This window comes from Homo sapiens, chromosome 4, assembly GCF_000001405.40.
Source record: "Homo sapiens chromosome 4, GRCh38.p14 Primary Assembly".
In the NCBI taxonomy this organism is placed as follows: domain Eukaryota; kingdom Metazoa; phylum Chordata; class Mammalia; order Primates; family Hominidae; genus Homo; species Homo sapiens.
In genome coordinates, this window is record NC_000004.12 from 47602816 (window position 1) to 47622392 (window position 19577).

A 19577-nucleotide genomic window follows, 5' to 3' on the forward strand; every position below is an offset into this window, starting at 1 on the left:
ATTTGTGGCTATATTTTTGTAAGAGAAAATGGGAAATTACGGCCAAAAGCTACCTAGCTTTTGGGTCTGGGTACTGGGTCTCATTCTGTTACCCAGGCAGTGGTGAGATCTTGGCTCACTGCAGCCTCCACCTTCCAGGCTCAAGAAATCCTCCCACCTCAGCCTCCCAACTGAGGAACACAATGTTTCTCAGGCTCCTGAAGATCCTGGCTGATATGGTTTGGCTGTGTTCCCACCCAAATCTCATCTTGAATTGTAGTTCCCATAATCTCCACGTGTAATGGGAGGGATCTGGTGGGAGGTAATTGAAACATGGGGGGCAGTTACCCTCTTGATAGTGAGTTCTCACGAGGTCTGATGGTTTTATAAGGGGCTTTTCCCCCTTTTGCTCAGTACTTCTCCTTGCTGCTGCCATGTGAAGAAGGACATGTTTGCTTCCCCTTCCGCCATGATTGTAGGTTTCCTGAGGCCTCCCCATCCCTGCAGAACTGTGAATCAATTAAACTTCTTTCCTTTATAAATTACCCACTCTCAGGTATGTGCTTATAGCAGCATGAGAATGGACTAATACACTGGCTTACTTTTATTGCCCATGTGGCCCCAGCCTGTGATATAGCAGTACGTGTCAGGCTCTAGCCACTGCTCCGGGTTGGGCAAGCAGACAGGCCGGACGTAGCCAGTCTCACTGATGTCTTCACTCAGCTCAACGATGCTGATGTCATAGTCCACCACTGCTCGACTGTAGCGGGGATGCAGGATGATGGTCTTCACAAAGCGTGTCTGCATGAACACTGATGGATGGTCTAGATTGTTGATGCCAAGCACCACTTTCCAAACTGCAGCATTCTCTCTCCTAAAATTATAATTCAAGAGCTATTGGCATCTTAAACTCTAGTTTATCATGTGAAATTCACATGTAATTTTAAAACATTTTATTTATGTAAATAATGGCCATTTTCATGCCCACCTCTCAATGTATTCATATAAGTGGCATTTATATAATAGCCTGAGTGATTAGCAAGTAAGTATTATTGTTGCAGAAAGCATAGCTCATGATTCCTGAATGGGGCTAGTCTTTAACATAAAACTTCTTCAGTTTTAAAGGCAGGCAGAGTTAGTTACTTGCTTCACAGAATGAGCAAGATAATGAAAAGCTATGAAGAAGAGAGAGGAGCAAGAGGAAAAGTGAAAAAGAAGAGGAAGCCAAGACTAAGAGATTCCTCCAAGAAAGAGCAAGTGACTTGAAGAAATGCCAGGGGAACCTCCTACAGATTTCCAGCTCAGGGCTTAAAAAGGTCACCCACGACCTCCAATGGTCATTCCCATACTCCACTGTTTTTGAATACTTGTCAACAATATTTTAGTCGATTCCCACCTTAAAACACTTTCTTCACTTGGCTTCCAGGTCTTGCCATGCTCCAAAATTTCTTCCAATCTCATGGACCTTTCCCTCTCAGTCTTTTCTTCTGGGTTCTCCTCTTTGGCTCTCAGTCTCCATGTTGAAATGCTCTGGAATTTCACTCTCAGCTGTCTATTCTCACTCCATACTCCCTTGATTTCATCTAGTCCAATGGTTTTAAATCCCACCATACGCTGGTGACCCCAAATGTATATCTCCAGCTCTGTCCTTTCCCTGAGCTGCAGACTTAATGTTCAATGGTCTATTTAACACTCTCAGTTGGATGTTTCAGCCAACATTTATTGAGGGCTTACCATGTATGCCACAGTATTTAATCATTCAGGATTCAGTTTACAGGAACTTAATACTATAATCAACCCAGGTGAATCTTCTCTTTTTCTTACACCCAACACTGAATGCATCAGCAAGTCTTTGCCAATCCTGCTTTCAAATATATCCCACATCTTACTGTTTCTCCCTCCTCCATGGCTATAATCCTAATCTAAGCTACTCTCAACTACATGGACCATGCAATGGCCTCCCAAATCATGGTCCTTCTTCTAATCTTAGTCCCTGTAGTCCATTTTCCTTACTATCAGGATATATATTGACTATATCCTCTATATTAGTCAGAGCAATATTTAAAAAAAATTAGATCAATCCATCTTCTGCTCACTATTCTCCAAAAGCTTTGTATCACACTTGAGACAAATCCTAGACTCCCCTGGCCTCTGAGGCCCTACACCATATGTTCATTCTCAACCCAAGGACTTTCTTGCTAATTTTGAACATGCCAAGAGCATCCTCAACTCAGGAGCTATTTCCCCTGATGTTCCCCCAGCTCTCACATGGGTCCTACCATTACTCCTTCTCTTCATCCAGGTCTCAACTCAAGCATCATCTGCTCAGAGCTGTTTCCCCAGCCAACCTGTCTCACCCTTACTCTGCCCCCTTCACTCTACTTGACACTGCTTTACTTTTCTTCTCATACTATCCATTGATATCAATGACATTGATATAACCATTTGTCTATTCTCTGTCTTGGCCCCTAGAATATAGTTATCACTGTGAAGGCAGGGATTTGGCTGGTCTTTTTCACTGCTTTATTCACAGGGCTTGGTACCTGGCCTACAGTAGGTCCTCAACAAGTACCTATTTAATGATGGCTCAATGAATGTTTTTGACTCTAACCACAAAGTCAAGGTCTGTTCTTCATCACTCCCTCCATCCCTTCCTTCACTCCCAGTCTCTCCTCCACCAGAGTGGTCAGGATAAAAAATGTGGACATTTATTGGACCACATTGTTGGGGCAAGGGTAGAGCTTTAATTGTGGGCATTTCCTTATACTCTGGTAATGTGAGTCAGCCACACTACCACTGTTCCTGCTTGGGAGCTTGTGATCAAATCAACTAAAGTAGGTTGATTTGACCAGCTAGACCAATTGTTTTTCAACCCAGGCTGAACACTGAATCCTCTGGGAGCCTTTAAAATAGTGATTCTCTGGGCGTCACTTCTAAACAGAAGCTCATGGACTGGGGCCTGGGAGTCTGTATTTTTAAGAGCTCTCTAGGGAATCTTAGGCAAAACCCCACCCACAACCCTTCTTTTCTTGGCACGCCTTTCTTTACCATCAGCATGCCAAAGATTCGAAAGGCTGAGATTTCAAGGGAGTTAGGAAGGAGGAGCCAAGGTAGGCACTCACTTGGTTTTTAGTATTGTTGGATACTTGGGGCAGACTCTACTAACAGACCCCCTCTATATAGTCATGCATGTTGTCCTTTTTCCATTAAACAAATAGTAATTTCAGGGATATCAGAGGAACGGACATCATTCAGTGAATAGAGAGATAGAGATATATAGCAATTTTCTCTATGCCAAGCATTGTGTTAGGGATTACAAGAATAAGCAAGAAAAGCATGATTCCCTGCCTATACAAACATTGTAATTGAGTGAAGGTAGACAATTAAATAAACAATTAGATTAAAATGCAGGTAGTACTATCACATGAACATTACAAGATAATGTTACAGAATAATTTCTTTTTTTTTCTTTTCTTGAGTCAGGGTCTTGCTCTGTCACCCAGGTTGGAGTGCAGTGGCATGATGATAGCTCACTGCAGTCTCAATCTCCCAGGCTCAAGCGATCCACTGGCCTCAGCCCCCCACCAAGTAGCTGAGACTACAGACACACACCACCATATCTGACTAAATTTTTTTGGAATTTTAGTAGAGATAAGGTTTTGCTGTGTTGCCCAAGCTGGTCTTGAACTCCTGAGCTCAAGCAATCCTCCCGCCTTGGGCCTCCTAAAGTGCTAGGACTGCAGGCCACCAAGCCCAGCCCAGAAGAATTATTTTTCATTACATAAAGCCGTCACTAGAAGAACATGCTTTTCTTATCCTTCCTTCCTTCCTACCTTCTTTCCCTCCTTCCTTTCTTCCCTCCTTCCTTCCTTCCTTTCTTTTTCTTTCCTTTTTTCCTTCTTTCTTTTACTTCTTTCTTCCTTTCCTTTTTTCCTTCTTTTCCTTATTTCTTCCTTCTCTTCCTCCCTTCTCTCCTTTCTTCTTTCTCTCGTTCCTTCCTTTTTCACTAAACAGTAATAAGTGCATTACCATCTGAGAAGTTCAATATGTATTTGTGATTCTATTGTTTCAGACACCTGAAATCAAGCAATAATTTATTTCAAATTTCTGACTACTTAATAGCTTCTTGCCCTTGAATAGCGTTACTAAGTTTTGGCTGTGAAAAACATTCATCCACATGCTTAAATCATAAGCAGTATTTTGAATAATCGAACATTCCAAATTATTTGTAACAAAATTGAATAACATCAAAATTCTGGACTTAATTACTGTATTGAGATTAATGTAATTCTAATTATAAAAAATTAGTGTCAATAAAACTGCTGAACATTAATTTGTACCCAGTAGTCTCTTGTTACATAAGCTACTGGCCTTATGGTATAGACAGGCAGATCACGAGGTCAGGAGACCGAGACCATCCTGGCTAACGCGGTGAAACCCCGTCTCTACTAAAAATACAAAAAATTAGCCCGGCATGGTGGCGGGTGCCTGTAGTCCCAGCTATTTGGGAGGCTGAGGCAGGAGAATGGCGTGAACCCGGGAGGCAGAACTTGCAGTGAGCCCAGATCGCGCCACTGCACTCCAGCCTGGGCGACAGAGTGAGACTCCATCTCAAAAAAAAAAAATTCCACCAAAAGAAAAAAAATGTACACAGGAAATTCACATAATTTTTTGTATTCAGTGATGACAGTGTTCTTTTCTTCTTTTTGTTATGAGTATATTGTGAAAAATAATGTCTCTTTTGATGTCTTCCCTCCTGTCAACCCGGGTATGGCAGAAACCAAAAACAGAACAAGAAAAAACCCAACCTGTTGTTTGAAAGAGTCTCCTGGGGTGAAGGACATGTACATACGTGGTGATTGTTACATCAAGCAAGTGCTAAAAAGAAGGAGTCAGGAGTAATGGCAAAGACAGCCCTGTGTCTGGGTAGAAGCAAAAAGAAGGAGGACAATTTCAGGCTACATGAATGCCACATGAGTTTAGTATCAGTTCTAAAGTACGAATTAACCGGATGTGGTGGCGTGCACCTATAGTCCCAGCTACTCAGGAGGCTGAGGCAGGAGAATCACTTAAACCCTAGAGGTGGAGGTTGCAGTGAGCCAAGATCATGCCACTGCACTCCAGCCTGGGCTACAGGGCTAGACTCCATCTCAAAAAAAAGAAAAAAAAAAAAAGTACCATTGGAGAAACACATGGAAACAGACTCTGATCATATGACTATTTTAGTAAAAACCATTAAATTATGGCCAGGTGCGGTGGTTCACACCTGTAATAACAGCACTTTGGGAGGCTGAGGCAGGCGACTCACCTGAGGTCAGGAGTTCAAGGCCAGCCTGGCCAGCATGGCAAAACCCCATTTCTACAAAAAATACAAAAATTAGCTAGGTGTGATGGCAGGCACCTGTAACCCCAGCTACTCAGGAGGCTGAGGCATAAGAATCGCTTGAACCTGGGAGCTGGAGGCTGCAGTGAGCTGAGATCGGCCATTGCACTCCAGCCTGGGTGACAAGAGCAAAACTCCATCGCCAAAGAAAAAAAAAGAGCTAAATTAGGCTACCAAGAAAAGAAAGCCAAGTATAGCAGCTGAAAATCTTCAGTTTAAAGGGAATTACTTGCCATTTGGCTGTCAAGCCTCAAAGCAGCAGCAAGGAGAGCTGGCACATCTGAAGTGCAAAGAACTTCAGACTGTGAGAGGAAGGAAGCAGGCCAAGGTGAAGCCAGGTGAGAATCCACCAATCCCAGGGAAAACAACTGAGGAAGATGTTAAAACACCTTATTCTTCTTTGTCCTCACTGTGGTTAGTATTTTATTCCTTGAAATCACATTTAGAGTCTAATTTGCTTCACGTTTACACTATTGTTTTAATAATAAATGTACTTCATAGACAATATTGAGCTTGTATGATTTCAACTTACAATTCTTCAATTATTAACTCTAGAGAAAAACAAAAACTCAGCCACTTACATATGTCAGACACACTATAGCATCCAGAGGAATTTATACAGAATTGCAGGCACAATGTCTCTGGAGGCAAAAATCAGTCTCTTTGGTTTGCAATTTGCCACACTCAGCTCTAGTTTAGACATGAAATTTTTCACTCAATTCAGCTAGTCAAATTTAAAGATTTCTATCTTTATCTTTTCTTAGGAGTGAAAAATTTCCCTTCTCTCACCCTCTCTGACTTTGCTTAGAATATCTTATATTTAATATTTTTCCTGTTTAATAAAGTTAATATTATAATTAACAACTATGATAGAAATTTATCTATTTTACAAGACTTACTCCAGAAATAGCATAGCTAAGTGGTGATTTGGAGATCATCTGAAGGTTACCAAATCTGCACTAAATAAAGATATACCACACTATGGCATCATTGCTGTTCTACAAATCTTAGGAATCTCTTACTTTTAATATTGTGCTCTGTCCTTGGCATTTCATTTTTATTATTTATTTATTTTTTTTGAGATGGAGTTTCACTCTTGTCACCCCGGCTGAAGTGCAATGGCGCAATCTCAGCTCACTGCAACCTTTGCCTCAGAGGTTCAAGCGATTCTCCTGCCTCAGCCTCCTAAGTAGTTGGGATTACAGGCACCCGCCACCATGCCTGGCTAATTTTTGTATTTTTAGTAGAGACAGGGTTTCACCATGTTGGCCTATCTGGTGTTGAACTCCTGACCTCAGGTGATCCACCCACTTCAGCCTTCCAAAGTGCTGGGATTATAGGTGTGAGCCACCGCACCCGGCTATCCTTGGTATTTTTAAAAAATTATCTGTAACAGGCAAGGTAAACGGATTTTTTTTTTCTTGAACTGTTATTTTAAGTTCCGGGATACATGTGCAGAAAGTGCAGGTTTGTTACATAGGTAAACGTGTGCCGTGGTGGTTTGCTGCACAGATCAACCCATCACCTAGGTATTAAGCCCAGCATCCATTAGCTATTCTCCGTGATGCTCTTCCTCACCCACCCCTACCCCCAACAGGCCTCAGTGTGTGTTATCTCCCACTATGTGTCCATGTGTTCTCATCATTCAGCTCCCACTTATCAGTGAGAACATGTGGTATTTGATTTTCTGTTCCTGTGTTAGTTTGCTGAGGATAAGCCTTCCAGCTTCATCCATGTCCCTGCAAATGACATGATCTCATTCCATTTTATGGCTGCATAGGATTCCATGGTGTATATGTACCACATTTTCTTTATCCAGTCTATCATCGATGGGCATTTGGGTTGATTCTATGTCATTGCTATTGTGAATAGTGCTGCAGTGAACATATGCATGCATGTATCTTCATAATAGAATGACTTATATTCCTTTGGGTATATACCCAGTAATGGGATTGCTGGGTCAAATGGTATTTTTGCTTCTAGATCTTTGAGAAATTGCCACACTATCTTCCACAATGGTTGAATTAATTTACACTCCCACCAATGGTGTAAAAGCATCCCTTTTTCTTCACAGTCTTGCCAGCATCTGTTGTTTCTTGGCTTTTTAATAATTGCCATTCTGACTGGTGTGAAATGGTATCTCATTGTGGTTTTGATTTACATTTCTGTAATGATCAGTGATGTTGAGCTTTTTCTCGTATGTTTATTGGCCACATGAATGTCTTCTTTTGAGAAGTGTCTGTTCATGTCCTTTGCCCACTTTTTAATGGGGTTTTTTTTTTCTTGTAAATTTAAGTTCCTTATAGACTCTAGATACTAAACCTTTGTCAGATAAATAAATTGCAATTATTTTTCTCATTCTGTAGGTTGTCTATTCAATATGATGATAGCTTCTTTTGCTGTGCAGAAACTGTTTAATTAGATCCCATTTGTCAACTTTTCCTTTCGTTGCAATTGCTTTCAATATTTTTGTCATGTAATCTTTCCCTGTGCCTATGTCCTGAATGGTATTCCCTAGGTTTTCTTCTAGGGTTTTTGTAGTTTCGGGTTTTACATCTAAGTCTTTAATCCATCTTGAGTTAATTTTTGTATAAGGTGTAAGGAAGGGGTCCAGTTTCAAATTTCTGCATATGGCTAGCCAGTTCTCCCAGCACCATTTATTAAATAGGAAATCTTTTCCCCATTGCTTGTTTTTGTCATGTTTGTTGAAGATCAGATGGTTGTAGGTGTGTGGCCTTATTTCTGGGTTCTCTATTCTGTTCCATTGGTCTATGTGTCTGTTCTTGTACAGTAGTACCATGCAGTTTTTGGTTACTGTAGTCTTGTAGTATAGTTTGAAGTTGGGTAGGGTGATGCCTCTAGCTTTGTTCTTTTTGCTTAGGATTGTCTTGGCTATATGGGCTCTTTTTTGGTTTCATATGAATTTTAAAATAGTTTTTTCTAATTCTGTGAAGAATGTCAATGGCAGTTTAATGGAAATAGCATTGAATCTATAAATTACTTTGAGCAGTATGGCCATTTTCACAATATTGATTCTTCCTATCCATGAGCATGGAATTTTTTTCCATTTGTTTGTGTCCTCTCTGATTTCCTTAAACAGCGGTTTGTAGTTCTCCTTGAAGAGGTCTTCACTTCTCTTGTTAGCTGTATTCTTAGGTATTTTATTCTGTTTGTAGCAATTGTGAATGGGAGTTCATTCATGATTTGGCTCTGTGCTTGCCTGTTGTGGTGTATAAAAATGCTAGCAATTTTTGCACATTGATTTTGTATCCTGAGACTTTGCTAAAGTTGCTTATCAGTTTAAGAAGCTTTTGGGTCAAGACAATGGGGTTTTCTAGATATAGGATCATGTCATCTGCAAACAAAGATAATTTGATTTCCTCTCTTCCTATTTGAATATCCTTTCTTTCTTTCTCTTGGCTGATTGCCCTGGACAAAACTTCCAATATTGTGTTGAATAGGAGTGGTAAGAGAGGGCATCCTTGTCTTGTGCTGGTTTCCAAGGGGAATGCTTCCAGTTTTTGCCTATGCTGCATGATATTGGCTGTGAGTTTGTCATAAGTGGCTGTTATTATTTAAGGGATGTTCCTTCAATACCTAGTTTATTGAGAGTTTTTTAATATGAAGGGATGTTGAATTTTATCAAAGGCCTTTTGTGTGTCTATTGAGATAATCATGTGGTTTTCGCCTAGTTCTTTTTGTATTGAACCAGCATTGCATCCTAGGGATGAAGCTGACTTGATCGTGGTAGAAAAGCTTTTTGATGTGCTGCTGGATTTGGTTTGCCAGTATTTTATTGAGGATTTCAACATCAATGTTTATCAGGGATATTGGCCTGAAGTTTTATTCTTTTGTTGTGTTTCTGCCACGTTTTGGTATCAGGATGATGCTAGCCTCATAAAATGAGTGAGAGAGGAGCACCTCCTTTTCAATTTTTTGGAATAGTTTTGGTAGATATGGTACCAGCTCCTCTTTGTACCTTTGGTAGATTTCAGCTATAAATCTGGTGAATAGACTTTAGAATAGAGACTTCAAAGTAAATATATGAAGTGGCTGGGGTAAATTCAGTAAGTACAGACTGTGTCACATCACAAGCCCTGCCCATCCTGAGGGCCATTCGCCTCTCAGCTCCAGAAAATTGTTGTCATGTTGGAATGCTCAGTGGAATCTGACCTTCCAATTGTCTAAGGAAAGCCAAAGTTCTGGATTTTATGCAAAGTATCTGTGGTTTTAAATGCTACCTAAAAATTTAAAAATGGATACAACAAGCAAACTAGATTGGCAGCCTGGATGTCTCATTAGTATACAATCTCAATAGTTTTCCAAGTGTTTCTACACACTTTATTCCAAATGATCCTCACACCGACTGTGAGATGTAAACAGGGATTCATTGTTCCATTTTAGAGAAGAGAAATCAGTGACTCAGAGGAGATGAGCAACTCATCTAAAGTCACAGAGACAGCAAGTGATGGTAACAGACTAACTTGCTGGTCCTTTGAACCTGCTACACCACATCCTTACAACTAAACTTCTCTGAAACAAAGACAAGGGTCCACAGGCATCAAAAAGGATTTAGGTACTGGGCACAGGAGGGAAAGCATGTAGGATGGATGGAGACTCTTGTGAGTCATAAGGTGACAGATAGCAGGAAGATGTGTGCTCTTTCCTGAATGTATCCCTCAAATATGATAGAAAGCTAGCCGTCGGTGATAAAATTACAGGAAATGAACAATTCTATTATGCTAGGTTCCAAAAAATGCAAGAGAAGGGTTTAGTCACATGCATATTCTAGACCTTCAAGAATCAAGTTTCAGAATGTTTCAGGGGGAAAAAGCTATGATAATATGTCCAGAGATTCTTAAAGCAGTCATGGCTCAACAAAGTTGGGAGAGTTTAAGTGCCAAATTCTGATACTACCATCACAAATAGTTGCAGTATGCAAGAAAATGAAGAATCAGTTGAACAGTAAATGTGACTACATAAAGATTTCAGAGCAGGTGAGTGCAGTGGCTTACACCTGTAATCCCAGCACTTTGGGAGGCTAAAGCGGGCAGATCACGAGGTCAGGAGTACGAGACCAGACTGGCCAACATAGTGAAACCCCATGTCTACTAAAAATGCAAAAATTAGCCGAGTGTGGTGGCACGTGCCTGTAGTCCCAGCTACTTGGGAGGCTGAGGCAGGAGAATCACTTGAACCTAGGAGGTGGAGGTTTCAGTGAGCCGAGACCGTGCCATTGCACTCCAGCCTGAGCAACAGAGCGAGACTCCGTCTCAAAAAAAGAAAAAAAACTCAGAGCTTTGAAGTCTATCATAAAAGAAAGGCATGAAATCAAAGTAATTGCAGCATTATTCACAATAGCAAAGACTTGGAACCAACCCAAATGTCCAACAATGATAGACTGGATTAAGAAAATGTGGCACATATACACCATGGAATACTATGCAGCCATAAAAAATGATGAGTTCATGTCCTTTGTAGGGACATGGATGAAATTGGAAATCATCATTCTCAGTAAACTATCGCAAGAACAAAAAACCAAACACCGCATGTTCTCACTCATAGGTGGGAATTGAACAATGAGATCACATGGACACAGGAAGGGGAACATCACACTCTGGGGACTGTTGTGGGGTGGGGGGAGGGGGGAGGGATAGCATTGGGAGATATACCTAATGCTAGATGACGAGTTAGTGGGTGCAGCGCACCAGCATGGCACATGTACACGTACGTAACTAACCTGCACAATGTGCACATGTACCCTAAAACTTAAAGTATAATAAAAAAAAAAAAGAAATCAAAGTAATTGTCCAAAAGTCTTACTTATTGAATGAGCAGGGCTTTGTCTAAAAAGAAACAAAGTGGGAAAAATAAAAATGGCTTCTTGGCAAAATGATGTGCAAAATAGAACAAGAAAAGAGGAAAATTGTTGTCTGTAGCAGATAATTTAAATGTTTGTAGATAAGTAAGACAAAGCAGAATGATTTGAAGCTTACTTTACCCCCAATTTCTTTTTTTGTTGTTGTTGTTTTGAGACAGAGTTTCGCTCTTGTTGCCCAGGCTGGAGTGCAATGGCATGATCTCAGCTCACTGCAACCACCTCCACAACCTGGGTTCAAGTGATTCGCCTGCCTCAGCCTCCAGAGTAGCTGGGATTACAGGAGCCCACCACCATGCCTGGCTAATTTTTTCTATTTTCAGTAGAGATGCGGTTTCACCATATTTTATCCAGGCTGGTCTCGAACTCCTGACCTCAGGTGATCCACCCACCTCAGCCTCCCAAAGTGCTGGGATTAGAGGCGTGAGCCACCATACTTGGCCCTTTACCTCCAATTTCTATATTCAAGGAGAATAATCTTCAGACAATACCCAGATGATTAATCTATGTGATGAAAACATACAGGTGCTTAATACATTGGAAATGGTGAATTGATGTGCGGTCCAAGGCATGGGAGGAGCTGGTGAGATCACTGACTCTCTGTAGAAGAGTTAACATTTCTAGTTTGAGACAAATTACAGCCCTACATACTGAAATGACTACAGACATGATTACTAAGAAACACCAAGAAGAGGCTGACTTGTCAACTAACAAGTATTTATTGAGTGGCTGCTGTATGCCATGCTGAAAGAAATAAAAACTCAAGAGTGAGGAAGGCAGATGGAGTTCATGTCTTCATAGAGTTTTCATTCCACTAAACTAGATAGTAAAAAAAAAGTACATAAACAAATAAGATTATCTCGGGCACTTAGAAGTAAAAAAATATATTTATGGTAATGTAATAGAAGATTTGACGGGGCAATCACTTTGGCTAGGTTGGTTAGGGAAGGTCTTTGAGAAAGTGACACTCAAATTGAGACTTGAACAATGAAAAGGAAGTAGTTTTATGACTCTATGAAAGTATTCCAAACTGCAGAAACAGCAAATACAAAAGTCCTGAGGCAGGAATGAGCTTGGAGGATTTCAGGAGCTGAATGAAAGCTAGCATGGTTAGAGCCCAGTGAGTGATGGGAGACTAGAAGGAGACACAGTCAAAGTGCTGGGACTAGACCTTAATAGGCTCCAATGAAAAGATTTTATTCTTGTTATAATGGGAAGCCAATGTAGGGTTTTAAGCAGGGGAGTGACATGGTGTGATTTACATTTTAGAAAGTTCACTATCTTACTGTGTGGATAATAGGTAATAAGGGAACAAGAGAGTAGTCAAAAAAAGCCAAATAGGAAACTGTTTCAGTAGTCATTATGGATTGGTCGTGTCCCTCTAAAATCTATATGTTGAAGTTGTAACTCCTAGTATATTATAACTTTATTAGGAAATAGGGACTTTATGGAGGTAATCAAGTTAAAATAACCTCATCAGGATGGGCTTGAATCCAATATGACTAATCCACATCCAGTATAATGCCGGCAGGCACACAAGGAGAACACTGTCTGAAGAGGAAGGCAGACATTAGGGTCCTGCTTCTACAGGCCAAGGAATACCAAAAATTGCCAGGAAACCACCGGGATCTAGGCAACAGGCATTCTCTCTCAACACTCAGAAGGAAGAAACCCTGCCAGTACCTTGATCCTGAACTTCTAGCCTCCGGAACTGTATGGTTCAAATCACCCAGCTTGTGATACTTTGTTATGGCAGCCCTAGGAAATAAATAGTCCAGAAGTGAGATGATGGTGGCTTGGAGTAGGATTATAGCATTAGGATGGGAGAGATGCTTGGCTTCCACTTTTTTGGAAGAAGATTCTACAGGATTTACTGATAAAGTAAATGTGAGAAGAATTAAGGATGACTCCTAGGTTTGGTATATTAGCGAACCGATGGATGATGCCTTTTACTGAGATGGGGGAAGTTTGTGAAGCAACAATTATTTGCTCAGTGGGAGAAGTGAGAAATCAATAGATTTGTTTAGGTCACATAAAGTAAGATGTTTATTACATGTTCAAATGAACATCTTATCTTCACAGTTAAATGTATTCATGTGAAGTTGGTGGGTGGTGGTGATTGGGTGGAAATCTGGGCTGGGCTGGAGATATAAATTTAAAAGTTATGAAGAAATATTTCATATATTTGATATTCAAGTATATTCATATTAATATTCACATACTTTATATTCATATTAATATTCACATACCTTATATTCATATTTTTCAAATATGAACAAGTATTTGTTCAAATCAGGACAGGTATATAAACCATGTGATGAGATGAGTGAGTGTAGACATACAAGAAAGCCAAGAATTTGGTCCCTAGGAACTAAAGCATTCAGTAGCCTAAAAATGAGCTGAAAAAAGAGAAAAAGAGTTAGTCTCTGACATATGAAGAAAACAAGGAGTTTTTGTGTTATTTTAGAAGAAAATGAAAGTATTTCAAGAAGGATGTAGTGATAAAATACTGGAGAGGGTTCCAGTGGGTTGAAAACTGAAAATACATCATTGGACTGCAAGATGGAAGTCATTAGAGATTTTAACAAGCGTCACTTCTGTAATGATCTTGACAAGAACGCAACCAGAGTGGGCTGAAGAGAATGTGGGACATGGAGAGGTGTAGACAGTGACTGTAGGAAACTCTTTTAGGAATTTTTCTGTGAACAGTGGCTGGAATGGAGCAACAGATGAAGAGGGATATGAATTCAAAAGAATGGGGCTCAAGTTTGTGATATTAAGACATGGCATGGTTGCTGAAGGGAGTGATCCAACAAAAAAAGATAAATTAATGATGCAAAATAAAAATGATAACTTTAGGAGTAAAGTCTTTGAAAAGATGAAAGGGGATATGCTTGTTTTAAAATGGGAGCAAAGACATGTCCTCCACCATACTCAAGGGAAAGCAGTGAATGTGGCCAAAGAGGCAGGTGATTTGTTGGAATTGGGGGTGAGACAAGGTGAAAGACATGATGGCATCTATTTTATTCATGAAGTATAAGGTGAGATCAGTAAAGGATGACAAAGATTTGGAGACAGAGAATAAGCTGTCAAATAGTTGTCTATTCACAATCAGAGTAGAAAAGTGACTTTACTGTGGAAGTATATTGAAAGTGTCTGATTGTGTTAGATGCTCATTTGGGGTTTATGATCATATATTTTATGTGACCTCAGTTAGCAGACAGGTGTATGATATTCTCCAAAGTGGGTCAGGTGTTCAGGTGCAGATGCAACATACATGACTAGGGAGTGACAAGACTGAAAGACACAGGCAAGTAACCACAACAATTTAAAACGAGAGAGCTCCAAGTTTCTGAAAGCCCCCCAAAACAATGGGATTGCACGTTAGGCCACCTGCTAGCTATATCCTAGACCCAGACATTTTCCAGTGGAGAGGAGAGGGTGACGGAAAACATTTCCATAGAGGGCAGGGCAGTGGGGAGTATGACGTAAGGTCAGAGTCACCTAGGGATTTTTAAATCCACACTTGCTCACTCCCCAGTGATGCTGAGAAACAGCACCCCATGGGAGGTATGGAGCTAAAATGGAAAATTTTTCTTTTAGTGGACATTACTATTGATGGGAATGGGCCAAATCCTTAGAGTAGATGGAATAGAAAGACAAATTGTGAGTGACTGGCACAGTTCATACACTCCTAGAAGATAAAGAAGTAGGCAGAAGGACACAGCATGAGCTCAGTAATAAAAAGTCAAACCAAACTTCTCACTTCCTTTTCTCAGTGCATTAAAAGACTGACAGAGCAGGGCAGGTGGGCAAGCAAGAACAAAGATTTTGTTCTTGGGAATAGGAGAGAGAGATGTTTAGAAATAGGTGGAAGATTATTGAGTAATATTAAGGGTCCAACTGATGTTGAAAGTCAGGCATGGCAGTAATCTGCATTCTTCAGTAATGCTCTCCCTCAGTCCTGAAGAGCATAGACATAGGATTAGAAAATGTGGGCTGAGCGCAGTGGCTCATGCCTGTAATCCCAGTACTTTGGGAGGCCGAGGTGGGTGGATCACTTGAGGTCAGGAGTTCGAGACCAGCCTGACCAACATGGTGAAATCCCGTCTCTACTAAAAATACAAAATTAGCTGAGCATGGTGGCAGGCACCTGTAATCCCAGCTACTTGGGAGGCTGAGGCAGGAGAATGGCTTGAACTCGGGAGGCAGAGGTTGCAGTGAGACGAGATCATGCCACTTCACTCCAGCTTGGGCAACAGGAGTGAAACTCCATCAAAAAAAAAAAAGGAAAGGAAAGGAAAGGGAAGGGAAGGGAAAGGAAGGGAAAGGAAAGGAAAAATGTGATCTTGACTTTGGAGGCCTGCCCAGTGTGTTGGAAAAATCTAGGGAGGAAGAAGTCTAAGGTCCTAGTGAAAAGACTGAAGTGAGAAGTGATGAACCCAGGGAACGAGGTAAGTTGAGGGAAGGAAAGGAGGCGAGGGCTGGGCGCAGTGGCTCACGCCTGTAATCCCAGCACTTTGGGAGGCCGAGGAGGGCGGATCACAAGGTCAGGAGATCGAGACCATCCTGGCTAACATGGTGAAACCCCGTCTTTACTAAAAATACAAAAAATTAGCCGGGCATGGTGGTGGGCACCTGCAGTCCCAGCTACTCGGGAGGCTGAGGCAGGAGAATGGCATGAACCCAGGAGGCGGAGCTTGCAGTGAGCCAAGATCGCGCGGCTGCACTCTAGCTTGGGCACAGAGCGAGACTCTGTCTCACAAAAAAAAAAAAGAAAGAAAAAGAAAGGAGGCAAGAAGGAGACTCTTTGGACTGAGATACTAGGGCAGAAAGTGCAGCCACCAACCAAAAATCTTGTTGGATTGAAGAGCTGCTGTGAAGGGAATCAAGACATGGGTGACATGGCAGGAGTATGGGTTGTGGTCATATAGTGGGAGGACAGTTTTTCACGTGGGTTTCCTGGAGAGGAATCAGATGTTTCTGACCATTACTAGCTGTGTGCCAGCCTAGGAAGTTCATTCTTAAGTCTTTCAGAAGTGGAAGAAAGCAGGAAAATTGCTTGCTAAATTACCCATGAAAGTCAAAACCATTCTTCCTTAGAACTTTTGAAAGCGAATTGTCACTAGGACATATGGGGCTTGATCTGGTCAACCATCTCATGATTTTAAATTTTCATTTGGGATTTTTATCTACCTCTTCATAGCAGAGCAAAACAAACTTGTCTTTTTCCCATAAATATAATTAAAAAAGAGACAGGCTGAGGATACCCACCAATGGGTCACTCTAGGCCCTATCAAAGTATGGGATCAGGATATGAAGTAAATCCCATTAATTGCTGTAATTGATAGCTCCAAAAGGGAGTATGGCATACAATTAGAAGTTCCCAAAAGTTTGCTACTCCCCTGGAGATGTTATAAAATAGAATCAGGGTTATTAGCCCACATTCAAGCAAAAGCTTGTTTAAAGTGGGGCATTTTCTAACTTCTTCTGGATAGACTAGGCCTCTCTTCACAGTTTTGTTAAATTTAGTGTTTCATGAAACTTACCAAGGCCTTTAATATTATGTACGTGCCTTTAATTATAAGCACATATTTCTTCTCTATTGCAAGATTTCTCCTGAACTTTACAGATCTGTCAGTGAAAGAGGAAACTTGGATACCACATGTGGAAATAACAAAAGTGGGATATGAACCTCAATTAACTAGCACATAAAGAGTGCTGTTCCCTGAAAAAAACTGTTGGATTCATTTAGGTAATCATCGCTTGATGAATGTACTCTTGCTAGTGTAACCTTCTTATTACCATGGAGTTACAAATTAGGTCTGCAAAAGACATCTGGAAACATCTGGCCCCTTCTAAAGCAATAACATTCCAGTGTGTTTTTTGACATACTATGCAGACTCTTCCAATAATTCTGGATCTTACACATTGAAAGCTCTCAAGCGAAGGTGCTAGTTAGATTTTTTTAATGCTTTATTTCCCCCAAAATAGCAATCAAATAACTGGATATACACATTTCCATTTTATAATCACTATCACACTGTAATCTAATTACTTGTTTAAAAGTGTGTCTCCTCACTAGATTAGCCCCTTAGAGAACAAAACATGTATCCATCTGTGTAACTTCCTTATGAAACTACAGGTATGTGCTGGAACTGTATCCTCTACAAACAAGAGTACTAATAGGTGAGTAGCTTTCTTTAAGAACATTTATTGCAGTATTGTTAAAATGGCAGCAAACTGGAACTAAACCAAATGTCCATCAAGTGGGGAATAATTTTAAAACTTATAATAAATCTATAGATAGAATATTATTTGGCTTAAAAAAAATGAGTTAGAGCTGCATCAGTTGACCTGGAGAGATGTCCATGATATATTGCTCCATGAGAAAAGCAACTAACAAATGGAATTATAGAGTGTTATTCCAAATTGTAAAAGTAAACAATGACGGCTTGTGAAAAAGATAGGTGTTTATGATTGTGGGAGAATATTCATAATGCACTAACAGGGGTTACCTTAAGGATGATCAGGAATTAAGGTAAATGAGTGTGGGAGAATAGTGCTAGCAAAATGCAAAAATACTCATGCCATAATGCTAAGGGAAAATGCAGAATGCATGATTTTAGCAATAGTTTTTTTAAAAGAAAAGTTTACCTTTCGGTGTCTTACTGGTTGATGCCAGGCATAGTTCTTAAAGCTCTACATAGACTGTTTCACTTCCTGCCCGCACCAACTCTGTGAGGTAGGGATTATTATTTCTTTAATTTCACATAACAGAAAACTGTGGTCCATAGAAGTTACTGAGCTGGCCAGTGGTCACACAATAATTGGCTAAGCTAAGACAAAATAATAACAGGCAAATAGGCAAAAAATGAAATTGCATTTTTTTCCTAGAAACTAATCAGATCAAATGAAAAGTATCCATTTAATTAAGTAATAGACCTGTGGATTATTTTTTGCCTCGAATTTTTGCTATTATTTAATATTACTTCATTTAAATAAAGTAAAATTACTAAAAATAAATACAATAAAATGGCTAGTATGGTGGTTTTCAAAACCTGTCCTCAAGTCCTTTGATGTGGGAGGTCTGTGTTTCTTCCCTTTGAATTAGGTGGGGCCTGTGACTGATGGCTCTGGGCAACCACATAGGAGAAGCAACATTTTGTGCTTTTGGATGCTGAGTCAAAAAAGGTAATACAACTTCTTCCTGGCTTCCTTTTTGGGAAGCTTGCTTTGGAGGATGCCAGCCACCATGAAGTGAGTCTCATACAGAGAGGAACTGAGGCCCCAGCCAACAGGCAGCATCTACTGTCAGACTTCAGATGGTGCCAGCCTCTCCCTAGCTTTGGAATCTTCTAGCTGAGGCCCCAGAAATCACAGAGCAGAGACAAATTACGCCAACTACACTTTGTCTGAATCTTCAGTGAGCATAATAAATGTCTGAGTTTTTGTTTGTTGTTATTGTTTTGTTTATGTTTGGTTTTGTTTGTTTTGTTTTGCTACAAATTACATAGCAACAGATAGCTGGAAGAGATTCTGCAGTGATGTTCGTCAGTTTGGGGTAGGTTTTCCCTTAGTTTTATTCTTCTGCTCTCTTTAGGCATATTGTGGTGGTTAATTTTATGTATCAATTTGGCTGGGCCACAGCACCCAAATATTTGGCCAAACATTATTCTATATGTTTCTGTGAAGGTGTTTTTTTTTATGAGATTAATATTTAAATCAGCGGACTTTGAGTAAAGCCGATGACATTCCATGATGTGGATGGGCCTTACCCATTCAGATAAAAATCTTTTTTTTTTTTTTATACTTTAAGTTTTAAGGTACATGTGCACATTGTGCAGGTTAGTTACATATGTATACATGTGCCATGCTGGTGCACTGCACCCACTAACTCGTCATCTAACATTAGGTATATCTCCCAATGCTATCCCTCCCCCCTCCCCCCACCCCACAACAGTCCCCAGAGTGTGATATTCCCCTTCCTGTGTCCATGTGATCTCATTGTTCAATTCCCACCTATGAGTGAGAATATGCGGTGTTTGGTTTTTTGTTCTTGCGATAGTTTACTGAGAATGATGATTTCCAATTTCATCCATGTCCCTACAAAGGACATGAACTCATCATTTTTTATGGCTGCATAGTATTCTATGGTGTGTATGTGCTACATTTTCTTAATCCAGTCTATCATTGTTGGACATTTGGGTTGGTTCCAAGTCCTTGCTATTGTGAATAATGCCGCAATAAACATACGTGTGCATGTGTCTTTATAGCAGCATGATTTATAGTCCTTTGGGTATATACCCAGTAATGGGATGGCTGGGTCAAATGGTA

General features: G+C 40.4%; 1 protein-coding gene across 2 annotated transcripts in view; it reads right to left on the bottom strand.

The window, feature by feature from the left end:
* Positions 1-19577, bottom strand: part of CORIN (corin, serine peptidase) — a 244067-nt gene that overhangs the window by 8815 nt on the left and 215675 nt on the right. For both annotated transcript variants that reach the window (NM_001278585.2, NM_006587.4), the window contains one exon: positions 582-853. In NM_001278585.2, coding sequence (NP_001265514.1) covers positions 582-853 — 272 coding nt within the window. The remainder of the gene's footprint in view (positions 1-581; positions 854-19577) is intronic.